The 15,269-nt window shown below is 42.6% G+C and overlaps 1 long non-coding RNA gene and 1 other non-coding gene across 4 annotated transcripts in view, besides 1 other annotated feature; both read left to right on the forward strand.

The window, feature by feature from the left end:
• Positions 1-15,269: part of a sequence alteration artifact (region identified as an assembly artifact by the Genome Reference Consortium. This region falsely duplicates sequence located at GRCh38 chr21:13654079-13799312) that runs on past both edges of the window.
• LOC110091777 (uncharacterized) overlaps positions 3,537-15,269 on the forward strand; it is a 43,040-nt gene continuing 31,307 nt past the window's right edge. Inside the window, exons 1-3 of one of the 3 annotated variants that reach the window (NR_146656.1) lie at positions 3,537-3,788; positions 4,125-4,303; positions 5,093-5,187. This is a non-coding gene — a long non-coding RNA (uncharacterized LOC110091777). The remainder of the gene's footprint in view (positions 3,789-4,124; positions 4,304-5,092; positions 5,188-15,269) is intronic. The other 2 variants (NR_146657.1, NR_146655.1) reach the window with 2 other exon arrangements.
• Positions 4,258-4,343, forward strand: MIR8069-1 (microRNA 8069-1). The gene has a single exon (NR_107036.1). It is a non-coding gene; the product is annotated as a microRNA 8069-1 (primary transcript).

Consider the following 15,269-nt stretch of genomic DNA (forward strand, 5'->3'; position numbering starts at 1 on the left):
AGCCTGGACTGCCCTCTGCCTGATACTTGCTTGGTTTGGAACTTTACTCCATCAAAGCATCCAAATAAAAATATGTAGACTCCCCACCCTATCCCATCTGCTATAGGGTTCTAATTCCCCCACAGCCATCCCATCACAGTGCTTTCCCCCATGACGGGGGACCCCTGCCCTGGACTCCATCCCTCCCCTACTGGAAAAGCACAGGTGCTGTGGCATGAGTTCAACCGACTGAAATTCCCTGATCTTCACAGTAATAATTCTAAAATAGGGCAACAATACCCCTGTCAGTGTTCTTGGAAGAACCTCTCATTACTTGAGGCCCCAGAAATGCAAACACCCTCCTGTTTTCCAGTGTGCTGTCAACCCTGGCATCAGAGCTGTTCCTGCCATGGACACTGGTAATTGACTTACTGGAGAAAGTCAAGCTTTTAAGTCCCAGGAATAAAGGGTTCCTATTTCCTTAAGCTGTGTTTATTTTTACACCATTGCTGGTAGAGTCAATGTGTACTGAGTGAAGATGAGGCAAAAGTGTCAAAGAGTGATTTCCAATAAGATGAAAAGTGATCTGCAGTTTCCACTTCCTTAACCAGCAGGAAACGTCTCTCCTGTAGCAACGGACAGTGGAGGCAGTGGCGCTCAGTGTGGGGCCTCCTGGCTGAAGGAGGGGACAATATGGTGTCCCATCTCCCGAGATGCTGTATGCACCTCACCTGGCTGGTGATTTACTTGAAAGAAACCCATGTGTGGAGTAGGGAGTGCTGCCTTTGGCATCTACCCATGTCCTGCTCTGGACTCTGCCTCTTAGCAAGGGTGACTTGTGGGCCCAACTCACCTGGTGGCTGTGAGCCACTGCACTCCAGCCTGGGCAACAGAGTGAGGCCTTGTGTGAAAATAAAATAAAATAAAATATAAAAATAAAAATGAGCCAGGAATGGTGGCTCACGGCTGTAATCCCAGCACTTTGGGAAGCCGAGACAGGCGGATCACATGTGGTCAGGAGTTGGCGACTAGCCTGATCAACATGGAGAAACGCTGTCTCTACTAAAAATACAAAAAATTAACCTGGTGTTGTGGCTCATGCCTGTAATCCCAGCTACTCAGGAGGCTGAGGCAGGAGAGTCGCTTGAACCCAGGAGGTGGAGGTTGCAGTGAGCCAAGTTCCCGCCATTACACTCCAGCCTGGGCAACAAAAGCGAAACTCCGTCTCAAAAAATAAAATAAAAGACTTTAAGTCATTCATCAATTTTATGTATCTACTATTTCTTCTCCCATTCCATAAAGCCTACAGTCATACAACAGAAAGGGAAAATCAGGACAGCCACATATAAATAAAGGTGCAAAGTTGAGGCAGGAGTGGACCTTAAGGGCCAAGCAGAGGTCATTGCTGAGCCCTGGTCATTTAGCCCTGGGCTTTCTGGAAGCCAGAGTGAAAAGAGAGACACAATCAGCTGCATAAGAGTTATCAAAAAGCAGGAAGCGCGCTGGTTTTCCTGGTAGTAAAGCAAGGGCTTTCCAAGAATTTACCTCTAAAGTAATTTCTTTTGTTCTTTCTTTTTTCTCGCTCTGACACCCAGTTGGAGTGCAGTGGCACAATCAGGGCTCACTACAACGTCTGCCTCCCAGGCTCAAGCCATCCTCCCACCTCAGCCTCTCAAATAGCTGGGACTACAGGCACGCACCACCATGCCTGGCCAGTTTTTTGGTATTTTTTGTAGAGGTGGGATTTTGCCATGTTGCGTAGGCTGGTCTGGAACTCCTGAGTTCAAGCAATCCACCCACCTTGGCCTCCTAAAGTGCTGGGATTTCAGGCATGAGACACTGCGCCCAGCCTAAAGTAATTTCTTACTTGAGATTTTATTTCAGGCTACTGTGTCATGCACTGGGCAGTACAGCCTGGTGGGTGAGAGCACAGTGGTTTTTTTTGTTTTGTTTTGTTTTGTTTGTCTTCTGGGTTTGGGTTTGAATTTTAATACGTGCAATTTATTCTGTGCTTCACTTTCTTCATCTGTAACATGGAGATAACGGCGTCTACCTATTAAAGTTGTGAAGATTCAATTAGATGAGTTGTATGAATAAGTGTTAGCTGTTATTTTATTTTATTTATTTTTTTGAGACAGAGTCTCGCTCTGCGCCCAGGCTGGAGTGCAGTGACGCAATCTTGGCCCATGGCAACCTCCGCCTCCCGGGTTCAAGCTATTCTCCTGCCTCAGCCTCCCAATTAGCTGGGATTACAGGCGCCTGCCATCATGCCCGGCTAATTTTTGCATTTTTAGTAGATCCGGGTTTTCACCATATTGGCCAGGCTGGTCTCGAACACCTGACCTCTGGTGATCCACCCGCCTCAGCCTCTCAAAGTGCTGGGATTACAGCCGTGGGTCACTGCGCCCAGCCAGCTATCAAGAAATCCGACTGCCTACTACTTAGCCTGCACAGTTTCAGGTGCTGGGGAAATAGTGATGAACAAGACAAACAAGATCCTCATCTTCAAGTAGCTTTTACATTCTAAGTGGAGTGAAAAAACAATAAACATTGAAAATAAATTTCAGAAAGTGCTGTGGAAAAACTTTACAACAGATGCAGGAATAGATTTCATTTGACTAGTTCTCCCAGTTTCCAGAAAAATCAAGGGTAGAATGTTAAAAGGCAACTCAGAGGTGAATCTGTTAGGGCCTACGGTAATGCAATCCTGGTTTGTGGAATTCCGCAGGCTAGTGTGGGTAGGTTACAATTTTGGGGGGAGGGCTTTATTTTGTTTGAAAATTCACTTCTTCCCGCTAAGCTTTTGATTAGGAGCTGAAGTTGAATCAGTTTGAAATTGTATTCTGGATCGAGTGCGGTGCTTCATGCCTGTAATCCCAGTGCTTTGGGAGGCCGAGGTGGGTGGATTGCTTGAGCCCAGGAGTTCGAGACCAGCCTGGACAAAATGGCAGAAACTCCATGTCTACAAAAAATACAAAAATTAGCCGGGCATGATGTTCTGCGCCTGTAGTCCCAGCTACTCAGGAGGCTGAGGTGGGAGGATCGCTTGAGCCCAGGAGGCGGAGTTTGCAGTGAGCTGAGATGTCACTGCATTCCAGCCTGGGAGACAGAGCCAGACTCTGTCTCAAAAGAAAAAAAGAAAAAAAAAAAAGAAAAGAAAAAACGAAATTGTATTCTGAATACATCTTCTAAAACACTACATTTACTTGCACTATATTAAACTGGTTTTATCCTGACCACAATTGCAGGTGAAAGATACCACTGTTGTTCTATTTTTCTGGTAAGTAGAGTGAGCCATGTCTTCCCCAGGGAAAGACGCCTCCTAAAAATTTGTAGGACCACCTTTGGTTTTCTTCCAGATATTTTTTTTGTCATCGCTTTTCCTGCGCCCAATTCCCATCTGTCTAGCCCTTCTGCCTCCGCTCGTCTTTTTCGCGAGCCTCTCCCCAGCCGCAGGTATTCGTCTGGGCTGCAGCCCCTCCCATCTCCTGGGGCGTGACCACCTGTCCAGGCCCCGCCCCCGTCCAACCCGCGGAGACCCGCCCCCTTCCCCGGACACCGGGTTCAGCGCCCGAGCGTGCGAGCGCGTCCCCGCTCGTCGCCCGGCTCGGCGTCGGGAGCGCGCTCTGTGTGGTCGCTGCTGCAGTGTTGTTGTGGCTGTGAGAAGGCGGCGGCGGCGGCGGAGCAGCAGCCGGACCAGACTCCCTAGTAGCTCAGGCGCTGCCCTGCGCCGGCCCTGGCAGGGAGCCTGGTGAGATGGTGGAGGAGGAGGCTGTGCCGTGGCTGGCCTTGCTGTGTCCTGCTGCCTGGTTAGAACCCCATCCCCGTCCCCCGTCTCCTCCGGGGGGTGAGGAGGAGCTGGAAGAGGGGCCGGCCTCTGTCCGGCCCGGCCAGGCGGCCGTCACCCTCTGAGGAGGCAGCGCCCGGGGAGGGGCCTCCCAGGCGGCCGCCGCCGCCAGGGGGAGGCGCTGGGAGTGGGAGTGGGAGCGGGACCTCAGCTGCCAAGCTCGGCCCGGACCCTAGGTGCGGGGGAGGCGGGGTCCCGGGCTCGGGCTGCCTGCCCGGACCTGGCGGGGATGGGCCCGTGCGGCTCCGGGTGTGGGACGTACCCTCAGAGCGCCCGGGGTTATTCCCACTGACTCCAGGGAGGTGAGTGTGCGCCCTTCGCTCCCTGCCGTGTCTGTGAGGGTCCATCGTTGCCGGAGACTGGAGGTCGGGGGCCATGGGAGCCCCGGGGCGAACGGTGCGGACATGGGCCTTGTGGAAAGGAGGAGTGACCGCCTGAGCGTGCAGCAGGACATCTTCCTGACCTGGTAATAATTAGGTGAGAAGGATGGTTGGGGGCGGTCGGCGTAACTCAGGGAACACTGGTCAGGCTGCTCCCCAAACGATTACGGTGTTATTTCTCCGGTAGAAATTTTGCTTGGTGTATGGCACTTCCGGACCCATAAGATGATGTCAGTTGTATTTTGGGCTGGAAAAATTATGTCAAAATTATGGGGTAGATTTTATGGCCACATTAATAGACTCCCCTGGAGTTTGATAATCTCACTTGTGAGTTTTGGACATGAACTACTATTACATATTGATGTTCGAATGTCGTTTCCAGACCCAGACCTAAATTCTTACTGTTCTAGTATCTTGATATCCACTTTGTTTTCTGACATCTATTTTTCCACAACCCAAACAAACAAAACCCCAAAACCATATACTTTTCCAGTTGAGGTTCAACTTTCTCACAGTAAATCCCTTCCCATCTGGGATTACAGGAGTAATAGCAACACAGTGTGTGTTTATAGATAGCAGCAATAATACATTTATTATATATAATATAATAAATGTATTAATATTATATATTTGTATATATACAAATATATATAATTACATATATTTATTAAATATATAAGTAAAAATTTATTATATATAAATTTTAATTTATATATAAAATTACATATATAGTAATATGTATTGAAATACATATTACTATAAATGTAATATGTATTTCATTTGTGTATATGTCAATATACACAAATGGAAGCAATGACTACGTAATAAGTGCTAAGTCTTTTTTGTTCTTGTTGTTTTGAGATCAAGTGTCACTCTTGTTTCCCAGGCTGGAGTGCAATGGTGCAATCTCGGCTACTGCAACCACTGCTGCCCGAGTTCAATCGATTCTCCCCTCAGCCTCCCAAGTAGCTGGGATTACAGGTGTGTGCCACCACACCCGGCTAATTTTTGTATTTTTAGTAATTTTCCCCAGTGTGTGGCTTGGCTTTTCACTCTCTAAATGGTGTCTTTTGATGAACAGAAATTGTTAATTTTATGAAAGTTTAATTTATCAATTATGGTTAGTTATAGTTATGTACAATTTGGAAAATCATTGCCTATCCCAACATTATAAAAATAATGTCCTACATTCTTTTTTAAGAGGTTACATTATTTTACATTTCTCAGCAGGGTCTCAGATCTAGTTGATGTGATTTTTTCAAATCACAAACTCACTTTTGTATAGGGTTTGAGGAGGGGTCAAAATAAATTTTTCCTCATAGATATCCAGTTGATCCAGCACCTTTTATTGAAAAGGCCATTCCTCACACTAAATTGTAGTAGTGCTTTTGTCAAAAATCAGGTGACTGTATATAGAAAGGTCTGTTTCTGATCTGTTTTCTGTTTTATTATTCTAGGTGTCCATGCTTGTTCTAATACCTTACTATTTGATTTACTTTAGCTTTATACCAAGTTTTGATGTTTAATCATGTAAATCCTCAACCTTTGTTCTTTTTCAAAGTTATCTTGGCTATTAAATTCTTGGTATTTCTAAATATAGTTTTAAAACAGTGTCAGACAATGCTTTTTTATTATTTAAAGATGAGATACTAAGTACCTGAACACAATGACAAATTCTATGATCTTCTGAAACTAACCTCCGGGTGTGAGAATTTGAAGGTTAGTGGATAGAAGATGGCCGAATAGGAACAGCTCCGATCTGCAGCTCCCAGTGAGACCAACACAGAAAACAGGTGATTTCTGCATTTCCAAATGAGGTACCTGGTTCATCATCATTGGCACTGGTTGGACAGTGGGTGCAGCCCACAGAGGGTGAGTTGAAGCAGGGCAGTGTGTCACCTCATCCGGGAAATGCAAGGGGTCAGGAGATTTCCTTTACCTATCCAAGGGAAGCTGTGACAGACTGTACTTGGAAAAATGGTACACTTCTGCCTAAATACTGTGCTTTTCCCATGGTCTTAGCAACCAGCAGACCAGGAGATTCCCTCCCATGTCTGGCTCAGTGGATCCCACGCCCATGGAGCCTTGCTCACTGCTAGCACAGCAATCTGAGATTGACCTGAGAGGCTGCAGCCGGGTGGAGGGAGGGGGGTCTGCTATTGCTGAGGCTTCAGTAGGTAAAGAAAGCAGCCAGAAAGCTCAAACTGGGTGGAGCCCACCACAGCTCAACAATGCCTACTGCCTCTATAGGCTCCACCTCTTTGGACAGGGCATAGCTGAACAAAAGGCAGCAGACAACTTCTTCAGACTTAAACATCCCTGTCTGACAGCTCTGAGAGAGAAGTGGTTCTTCCAGCATGGTGTTGGAACTCTGAGAATGGACAGACTGCCTCCTTAAGGGGGCCCCTGATCCCCGTATAGCCTGACTGGGAGACATCTCCCAGTAGGGGCCGACAGATACCTCATACAGGTGGGTGCCCCTCTGCGATGAAGCTTCCAGAGGAAGGATCAGGCAGCAATACTTGCTCTTCTGCAGCCTCTGCTGGTGATGCCCAGGCAAACAGGGTCTGGAGTGGACCTCCAGCAAACTCCAACAGACATGCAGCTGAGAGGCCTGTTAGAAGGAAAACTAACAAACAGAAAGGAATAGCATCAATATCAACAAAAAGGACATCCACATTAAAACCCCATCTGTAGGTCACCAACATCAAAGACCAAAGGTAGATAAAATCACAAAGATGGGGAGAAACCAGAGCAGAAAAGATGAAAATTCCAAAAACCTAAGCACTTCTTCTTGTCCAAAGGATCGCAGCTCCTCACCAGCAACAGAACAAAACTGGACAGAGAATGACTTTGATGAATTGACAGAAGTAGGCTTCAGAAGGTCGGTAATAACAAACTTCTCTGAGCTAAAGGAGCATGTTCTAACCCACTGGAAGGAAGCTAAAACTCTTGAAAACAGGTTAGATGAATGGCTAACTAGAATAAATAGTGTAAAGAAGACCTTAAATGACCTGATGGAGATGAAAACCACAGCATGAGAACTTCGTGACGCATGCACAAGCATCAATAGCTGATTCAATCAAGTGGAAGAAAGGATATCAGTGATTGAAGATCAAATTAATGAAATAAAGTGAGAAGACAAGATTAGAGAAAAAAGAGTAGAAAGAAATGAACAAAGCCTCCAAAAAATATGGGACTATGTGAATAGACCAAATCTACATTTGATTGGTGTACCTGAAAGTGACAGGGAGAATGGAACCAAGTTAGAAAATATTCTTCAGGATATTATCCAGGAGAATTTCCCCAACCTGGCAAGGCAGGCCAACATGCAAATTCAGGAAATACAGAGAATACAACAAAGATACTCCACGAGAAGAGCAACTCCAAGACACATAATTGTCAGATTCACCAAGGTTGAAATGAAGGAAAAAATGTTAAGGGCAGCCAGAGAGAAAGGTCGGGTTACCCACAAAGAGAAAACCATCAGACTAACAGCGGATGTCTCAGCAGAAACCCTACAGGCCAGAAGAGTGGGGGCCAATATCCAACATTCTTAAAGAAAAGAATTTTCAACCCAGAATTTCATATCCAGCCAAACTACGCATCATAAGTGAAGGATAAATAAAATCCTTTACATACAAGCAAATGCTGAGAGATTTTGTCACCATCAGGCCTGCCTTACAAGAGGTCCTGAAGGAAGCAATAAACATGGAAATGAACAATCAGTACCAGCCACTGCAAAAACATGCCAAATTGCAAAGGCCATCTACACTATGAAGAAATTACATCAACTAAGGGGTAAAGTAACCAGCAAACATAATAATGACAGGATCAAATTCACACATAACACTATTAAATGTAAATGGGCAAAATGCCCCAATTAAAAGACACAGACTTGCAAATTGGATAAACAGTCAAAACCATCAGTGTGCTGTATTCAGGAGGCCCATTTCACATGCAGAGACACACATAGGCTCAAAATAAAGGGATGGAGGAAGATCTACCAAGCAAATGGAAAGCAAAAAAAGCAGGGGTTGCCATCCTAATCTCTGATAAAACAGACTAAACCAACAAAGATCGAAAGAGACAAGGTCATTACATAATGGTAAAGGGATCAATTGAACAAGAAGAGCTAACTATTCTAAATATATATGCACCTAATACAGGAGCACCCAGATTCATAAAGCAAGTCCTTAGAGACCTACAAAGAGACTTAGACTCCGATGCAATAATAATGGGAGACTTCAACACCCCAATCTCAATAGTAGATCAATGAGACAGAAGTTTAGCAAGGATATCCAGGATGTGAACTCAGCTCTGCACCACATGGACCTAAATAGATATCTACAGAATTCTCCACCCCAACTCAATAGAATATATATTCTTCTCAGCACCACATCACACTTATTCTAAAATTGACCACATAATTGGAGGTGAAACATTCCTCAGCAAATGTAAAAGTACAGAAATCACAACAAACTGTCTGTCAGACCACAGTGCCATCAAATTAGAACTCAGGATTAAGAAACTCACTCAAAACTACACAATGACATGGTAACTGAAGAACCTGTTCCTGAGTGACTACTGGATAAAAAATGAAATGAAGGCAGAAATAAATATGTTCTTTGAAACAACATACCAGAATCTCTGGGACACATGTAAAGCAGTATGTAGAGGGAAATTTATCGTACTAAATGCCCACAAGAGAAAGCAGGAAAGATCTAAAATCAACAGCCTAACATCAAAATTAAAAGAACTGGAGAAGCCAGAGTAAACAAATTCAAAAGCTAGCAGAAGGCAAGAAATAACTAAGATCAGAGCAGAACTGAAGGAGATGGAGATACAAAAAACCGTTCCAAAAATCAATGAATCCAGGAGGTGGTTTTTTGAAAAGATCAACAATAGATAGACTGCTAGCAAGACTAATAAAGAAGAAAAGAGAGAAGAATCAAATATGCTCAATAAAAATGATAAAGGGGATATCACCACCAATCTCACAGAAATATGAACTACCATCAGAGAATACTATAAACACCTCTATGCAAATAAACTAGAAAATCTAGAAGAAATGGATAAATTCCTGGACATACACACCCTCCCAAGACAGAACTAGGAAGAAGTTGAATCTCTGAATACACCAATAACAGGTTCTGAAATTGAGGCAATAATTAATAGCATACCAACCAAAAAAAGTCCAAGACCAGATGGATTCACAGCTGAATTCTACCAGAGGTACAAAGAGGAGCTGGTACCATGCCTTCTGAAACTATTCCAATCAATAGAAAAAGAGGGAATCCTCCCTAACTCATTTTATGAGGCCAACATCATCCTGATACCAAAGCCTGGCAGAGACACAACAAAAAAAGAGAAATTTAGACCAATATCCCTGATGAACATCAGTGCCAAAATCCTCAATAAAATACTGGCAAACCAAATCCAGCAGCACATCAAAAAGCTTATCCACCATGATCAAGTGGGCTTCATCCCTGGGATGCAAGGCTGGTTCAACGTACACAAATTAATAAATGTAATCCATCACTTAAACAGAACCAATGACAAAAACCACATGATTATCTCAATAGATGCAGAAAAGGCCTTCGACAAAATTCAACAGCCCTTCATGCTAAAAACTCTCAATAAACTAGGTATTGATGGAATGTATCTCAAAATAATAAGAGATATTTAAAACCCACAGCCAACACCATATCGAATGGGCAAAAGCTGGAAGCATTCCCTTTGAAAACCACCACAAGACAAGGATGCCCTCTCTCACCACTCATGTTCAACATAGTGTTGGAAGTCCTGGCCAGGGCAATCAGGCAAGAGAAAGAAATAAAGGGTATTCAATTAGGAAATTAGGAAGTCCAATTGTCCCTATTTGCAGATGACATGATTGTATATTTAGAAAACCCCACCGTCTCAGCCGAAAATCTCCTTAAGCTGATAAGCAACTTCAGCAAAGTCTCAGGATACAAAATCAATGTGCAAAAATCATAAGCATTCCTATAATGTTGCCGGAAGTCAGGGACCCCAAACAGAGGGACCGGCTGGAGCCGCAGCAGAGGAACATAAATTGTGAAGATTTCATGGACATTTATCTGTTCCCAAAATTAATACGTTTATAATTTCTAACACCTGTCTATACTGCAATCTCTGAACATAAATTGTGACGATTTCAGGGACATTTATCAGTTCCCAAATAGTACTCTTTGAATTTCTTATGCCAGTCTTTACTTTAATCTCTTAATTCTGTTATCTTCCTAAGCTGAAAATGTACATCACCTCAGGACCACTATTGTACAAATTGATTGTAGAATATGTGTGTTTGAACAATATGAAATCTGATTGTAAAACATGGGCGTTTGAACAATATGAAATCAGTGCACCTTGAAAACGAACAGAATAACAGCGATTTTAGGGAAGAAGGGAAGACAACCAAAGGTCTGACTGCCTGCGGGGTCAGGCAGAATAGAGCCATATTTTTCTTCTTGCAGAGAGCCTATAAACAGATGTGCAAGTAGGAGAGATATCGCTGAATTCTTTTCCCAGCAAAGAATATTAATAATTGATACCCTGGGGAAGGAATGGATTCCTGGGGGGAGGTCTATAAACAGCTGCTCTGGGAGTGTCTGTCTTATGCGGTTGAGATAAGGACTGAAATACGCCCTGGTCTCCTGCAGTACCCTCAGGCTTATTAGGGTGGGGAAAAGATCCCGCCCTGGTAAGTTTGAGGTCAGACCAGTTCTCTGCTCTCAAACCCTGTTTTCTGTTGTTTAAGATGTTTATCAAGACAATATGTGCACAGCTGAACATAGACCCTCATCAGTAACTCTAATTTTGCCCTTTGCCTTGTGATCTTTATTGCCCTTTAAAGCATGTGATCTTCGTGATATACTCCCTGTTCATACATGCTCTCCCCTTTTAAAGTCCTTAATAAAAACCGGCTGGTTTTGTGGCTCAGGGGGACATCACGGACCTATTGTTATGTGATGTCACCCCCAGAGGCCCAGCTGTAAAATTCCTGTCTTTGTACTCTTTTTCTTTATTTCTCAGGCCAGCCGACACTTAGGGAAAATAGAACCTACATTGAAATATTGGGGGCTGGTTCCCCCGATACTATAAACCAGTAACAGACAAACAGAGAGCCAAATCATGAGTGAACTCCCATTCACAATTGTTACAAAGAGAATAAAATACCTAGGAATCCAACTTACAAGGGATGTGAAGGACCTCTTCAAGGAGAACTACAAACCACTGCTCAATGAAATAAAAGAGGACAAAAACAAATGGAAGAACATTCCATGGTCATGGATAGGAAGAATCAATATCATGAAAATGGCCATACTGCCCAAGGTAATTTACAGATTCAATGCCATCCCCATCAAGCTACCAATGACTTTTTTCACAGCATTGGAAAAACTATTTTAAAGTTCATATGGAACCAAAAAAGAGCCCACCTAGCCAAGACAATCCTAAGCAAACAGAGCAAAGCTGGAGGCCTCACGCTACCTGACTTCAAACAATACTGCAAGGCTACCGTAACCAAAACAGCATGGTACTGTTACCAAAACAGGTTATATAGACCAATGGAACAGAAAAGAGGCCTCAGAAGTAACACCACACATCTACAACCATCTGATCATGGCAAACCTGACAAAAACAAGCAACAGGGAAAAAATTCCCTATTTAATAAATGGTGTTAGGAAAACTGGCTAGCCATATATAGAAAGCTGAAACTGGGTCCCTTTCTTACACCTTATACAAAAATTAACTCAAGATGGATTAAAAACTTAAACGTTAGACCTAAAAACTATAAAAACCCTAGAAGAAAACCTAGACAATACCATTCAGGACATAGGCAAGGGCAAAGACTTCATGACTAAAACACCAAAAGCAATGGCAACAAAAGCCAAAATAGACAAATGGGATCTAATTAAACTAAAGAGCTTCTGCACAGCAAAAGAAATATCATCAGAGTGAACAGGCAACCTACATATTGGGTGAAAATTTTGCAATCTACCTATCTGACGAAGGGCTAATATCCGGAATCTACAAAGAACTCAAACAAATTTACAAGAAAAAAAACAACCCCATCAAAAAGTGGGCAAAGGATATGAACAGACAGTTCTCAAAAGAGACATTTATGCAGCCAACAGACACATGAAAAAATGCTCATCATTACTGGTCATCAGAGAAATGCAAATCAAAACAACAATGAGATACCATCTCATGCCAGTTAGAATGGCAACCATTAAAAAGTTAGGAAACAACAGATGCTGGAGAGGATGTGGAGAAATAGGAAAGCTTTTACACTGTTGGTGGGAGTGTAAATGAGTTTAACCATTGGGGAAGACAGTGTGGTGATTGGTGATTCCTCAAGGATCCAGAACTAGAAATAACATTTGATCCAGCAATCCCATTACCGGGTATATACCCAAAGGATTATAAATCATGCTACTGTAAAGACACATACACACGTATGTTTATTGCGGCACTCTTCACAATAGCAAAGACTTGGAACCAACCCAAATGTCCATCAGTGATAGCCTGGGTTAAGAAAATGTGGCACATATACACCATGGAATACTATGTAGTCATAAAAAAGGATGAGTTCATGTTCTTTGTAGAGACATGGATGAAGCTGGAAACCATCATTCTCAGCAAACTATCACAAGGACAGAAAACCAAACACTGCATGTTCTCACTCATAGGTGGGAATTGAACAATGAGAACACATGGACATAGGAAGGGGAACATCACACACCGGGGCCTATTGGGGGGTGGGCAGCTGGGAGAGGGATAGCATTAGGAGAAATACCTAATGTAAATGATGAGTTGATGGGTGCAGCAAACCAACGTGGCACATGTATACCTATTTAACAAACCTGCACTTTGTGCAAATGTACCGTAGAACTTAAAGTCTAATAATAAAAAAAACAAATTTAGTGGACAAAGTGAGTAGCTATCTTTTCTGCTTTCATCTCACTAAATCTAGTTTAATAATCAGATTGCAATAACATAATAAATTTTATAGTAAGATTGTATATAATTACCTATATATTGGAAGACAAGGGAAAATTTATAACTGTGAGTGCTGATGAAGCTAACATATTACCTGCATTTTGAAGTGTGAATGAACATTCAACAGGAATGCACTTATTTCATGGAATAAGATGTAAGATGTAAGAGATATGAAAGAAAAATATGAGTAATGTAATAAGTAATGCTTTAAAAAAAAGTAGGGAAGCCATTAATGTACTGTGACTGTTACATTATGTTCAAAATGAGAACTAAAGCCATATTCAACAGATGCCTCCCACACTTTTATCATACTCTTCTTATATCTGTACTTTTTTTTTTTTTTTTGAGACAGAGTCTCTCTCTGTCACCAAGGCTGGAGTGCGATGGCGTGATCTCAGCTCACTGCAACCTCCGCCTCCTGGGGTCAAGTGATTCTCCTTCCTCAGCCTCTCGAGTAGCTGGGATTACATGCATGTGCCACCATGCCCAGCTAATTTTTTGTATTTTTAGTAGAGATGGGGTTTCACCATGCTGGCCAGGCTGGTCTCAAATTCCTGACCTCATGAACCGCCCGTCTCAGCCTCCTAAAGTGCTGGGATTACAGGCATGAGCCACCATGCCCGGTCTTAGATCTGTACTTTCTAACAGAGCAACACAACCAGCATTTCTAACAAATGCTGCAAATCTTAAAGACGATGGTGTTCAGCATAATCTAAGAATACAGAGCATAAAAACCTATTTTGGAAAAAATATTAAAAGCATAATGGTAAAATTCAACACTTATTTTTAGAACCTACTGTGTGCCAGGCACTTTAAAAAATGTTTTTAATACAAGGATGAGCAAAATTGGTGAAATCTCTGCCCCTGTGGAGTGTCCAGTCTAATGAAAAAAACAGCAAGTTAAGAAGCAAATGCATAATATAGTGTTAGGTTGTGATAAGGGCTATGTGGAAAAAATAAAGTGTGGTTGAATATAGAATGACACAATGTGTGTGTGTAGAGAGTATTGTTGGAGAGAAGGCTCAGAAGTGAAAGAAATGATGAAAGAACCACACCAATATCTGATGCAAGAGGGAATAGCCAATCAGAAGCCTTAAGGCTGCAAGAGCTGGGAGGTTTAATAAACAGCAAGAAAAATAGTGCCAAAGTGATATAGAGTGGCAGAGGGAAAAGTAGTAAGTAACAGATACAAAAGATAAGCAGGGCCTAGATTCCCTGTGGCCTGGGAGATAATGGTGAAGACTTATGGATTTGTTTCATGTGGTGAAAATCTGTTGTAGAATTTGAGCAGGAAATGATGTGATCTGATCTACGTTTTTGAAAGAATCATTCTGGCTCCTGTTTGGAAAATAGCTGGGATTGGGTTGGAAAAAAAAAAAGTAATGGAAATAGAGGGAACAATCAGAAATGACTGCTGTAATTTAGAAGAGAGATAACGGAAACATGGCCTCGGGTAGTATCTACAAAAAAGGTGAGAACTCGATTTAGGATGTGTTGTGAAGGTAAAGTTGACAGGCTTTGCCAATAGAATGGATTTGGAGTGTGTAAAACATAGGGAATCCAGGCTGATTTTTAAATTGAGGGCCAGAGCCACTGGATAGTTAGAGATGATATTTCCACTAAGACTGGAAGTGAGGGGGAGCATCATATTTGGGGCAGGGAGGAATCAAAGTTTCTGTTTTGAGTGGTTAAATTCAGAATGCTTCTCAGATATCCCAGAGGAGGTGTTAATTTGGCAGTCAAGTATCTGAATCTGGACACAGAGGGGAGGTCAAGGCTGGATGTGTTAGTTTAGAAATAACCAGCATTTGGGTAAGATTAAAACCTATGATATAGGATAAAATTATCTAGAGAGAGCATTTACTCAGAGAACTCTCAATATTCAGGAACACAAGCCTATCCAGACTGGCTCAGGATAAATAAAGTTTTATGTAGAAGACAAATAGTTGCCCATGTAGAACCAAAGAAAAGGCGCAAATAAATACAAGCCCATCATCTCTCTTGGTTACATAGAATACATGAGGCAGTAAAGGATAAGG

This window comes from Homo sapiens, chromosome 21, assembly GCF_000001405.40.
Source record: "Homo sapiens chromosome 21, GRCh38.p14 Primary Assembly".
In the NCBI taxonomy this organism is placed as follows: domain Eukaryota; kingdom Metazoa; phylum Chordata; class Mammalia; order Primates; family Hominidae; genus Homo; species Homo sapiens.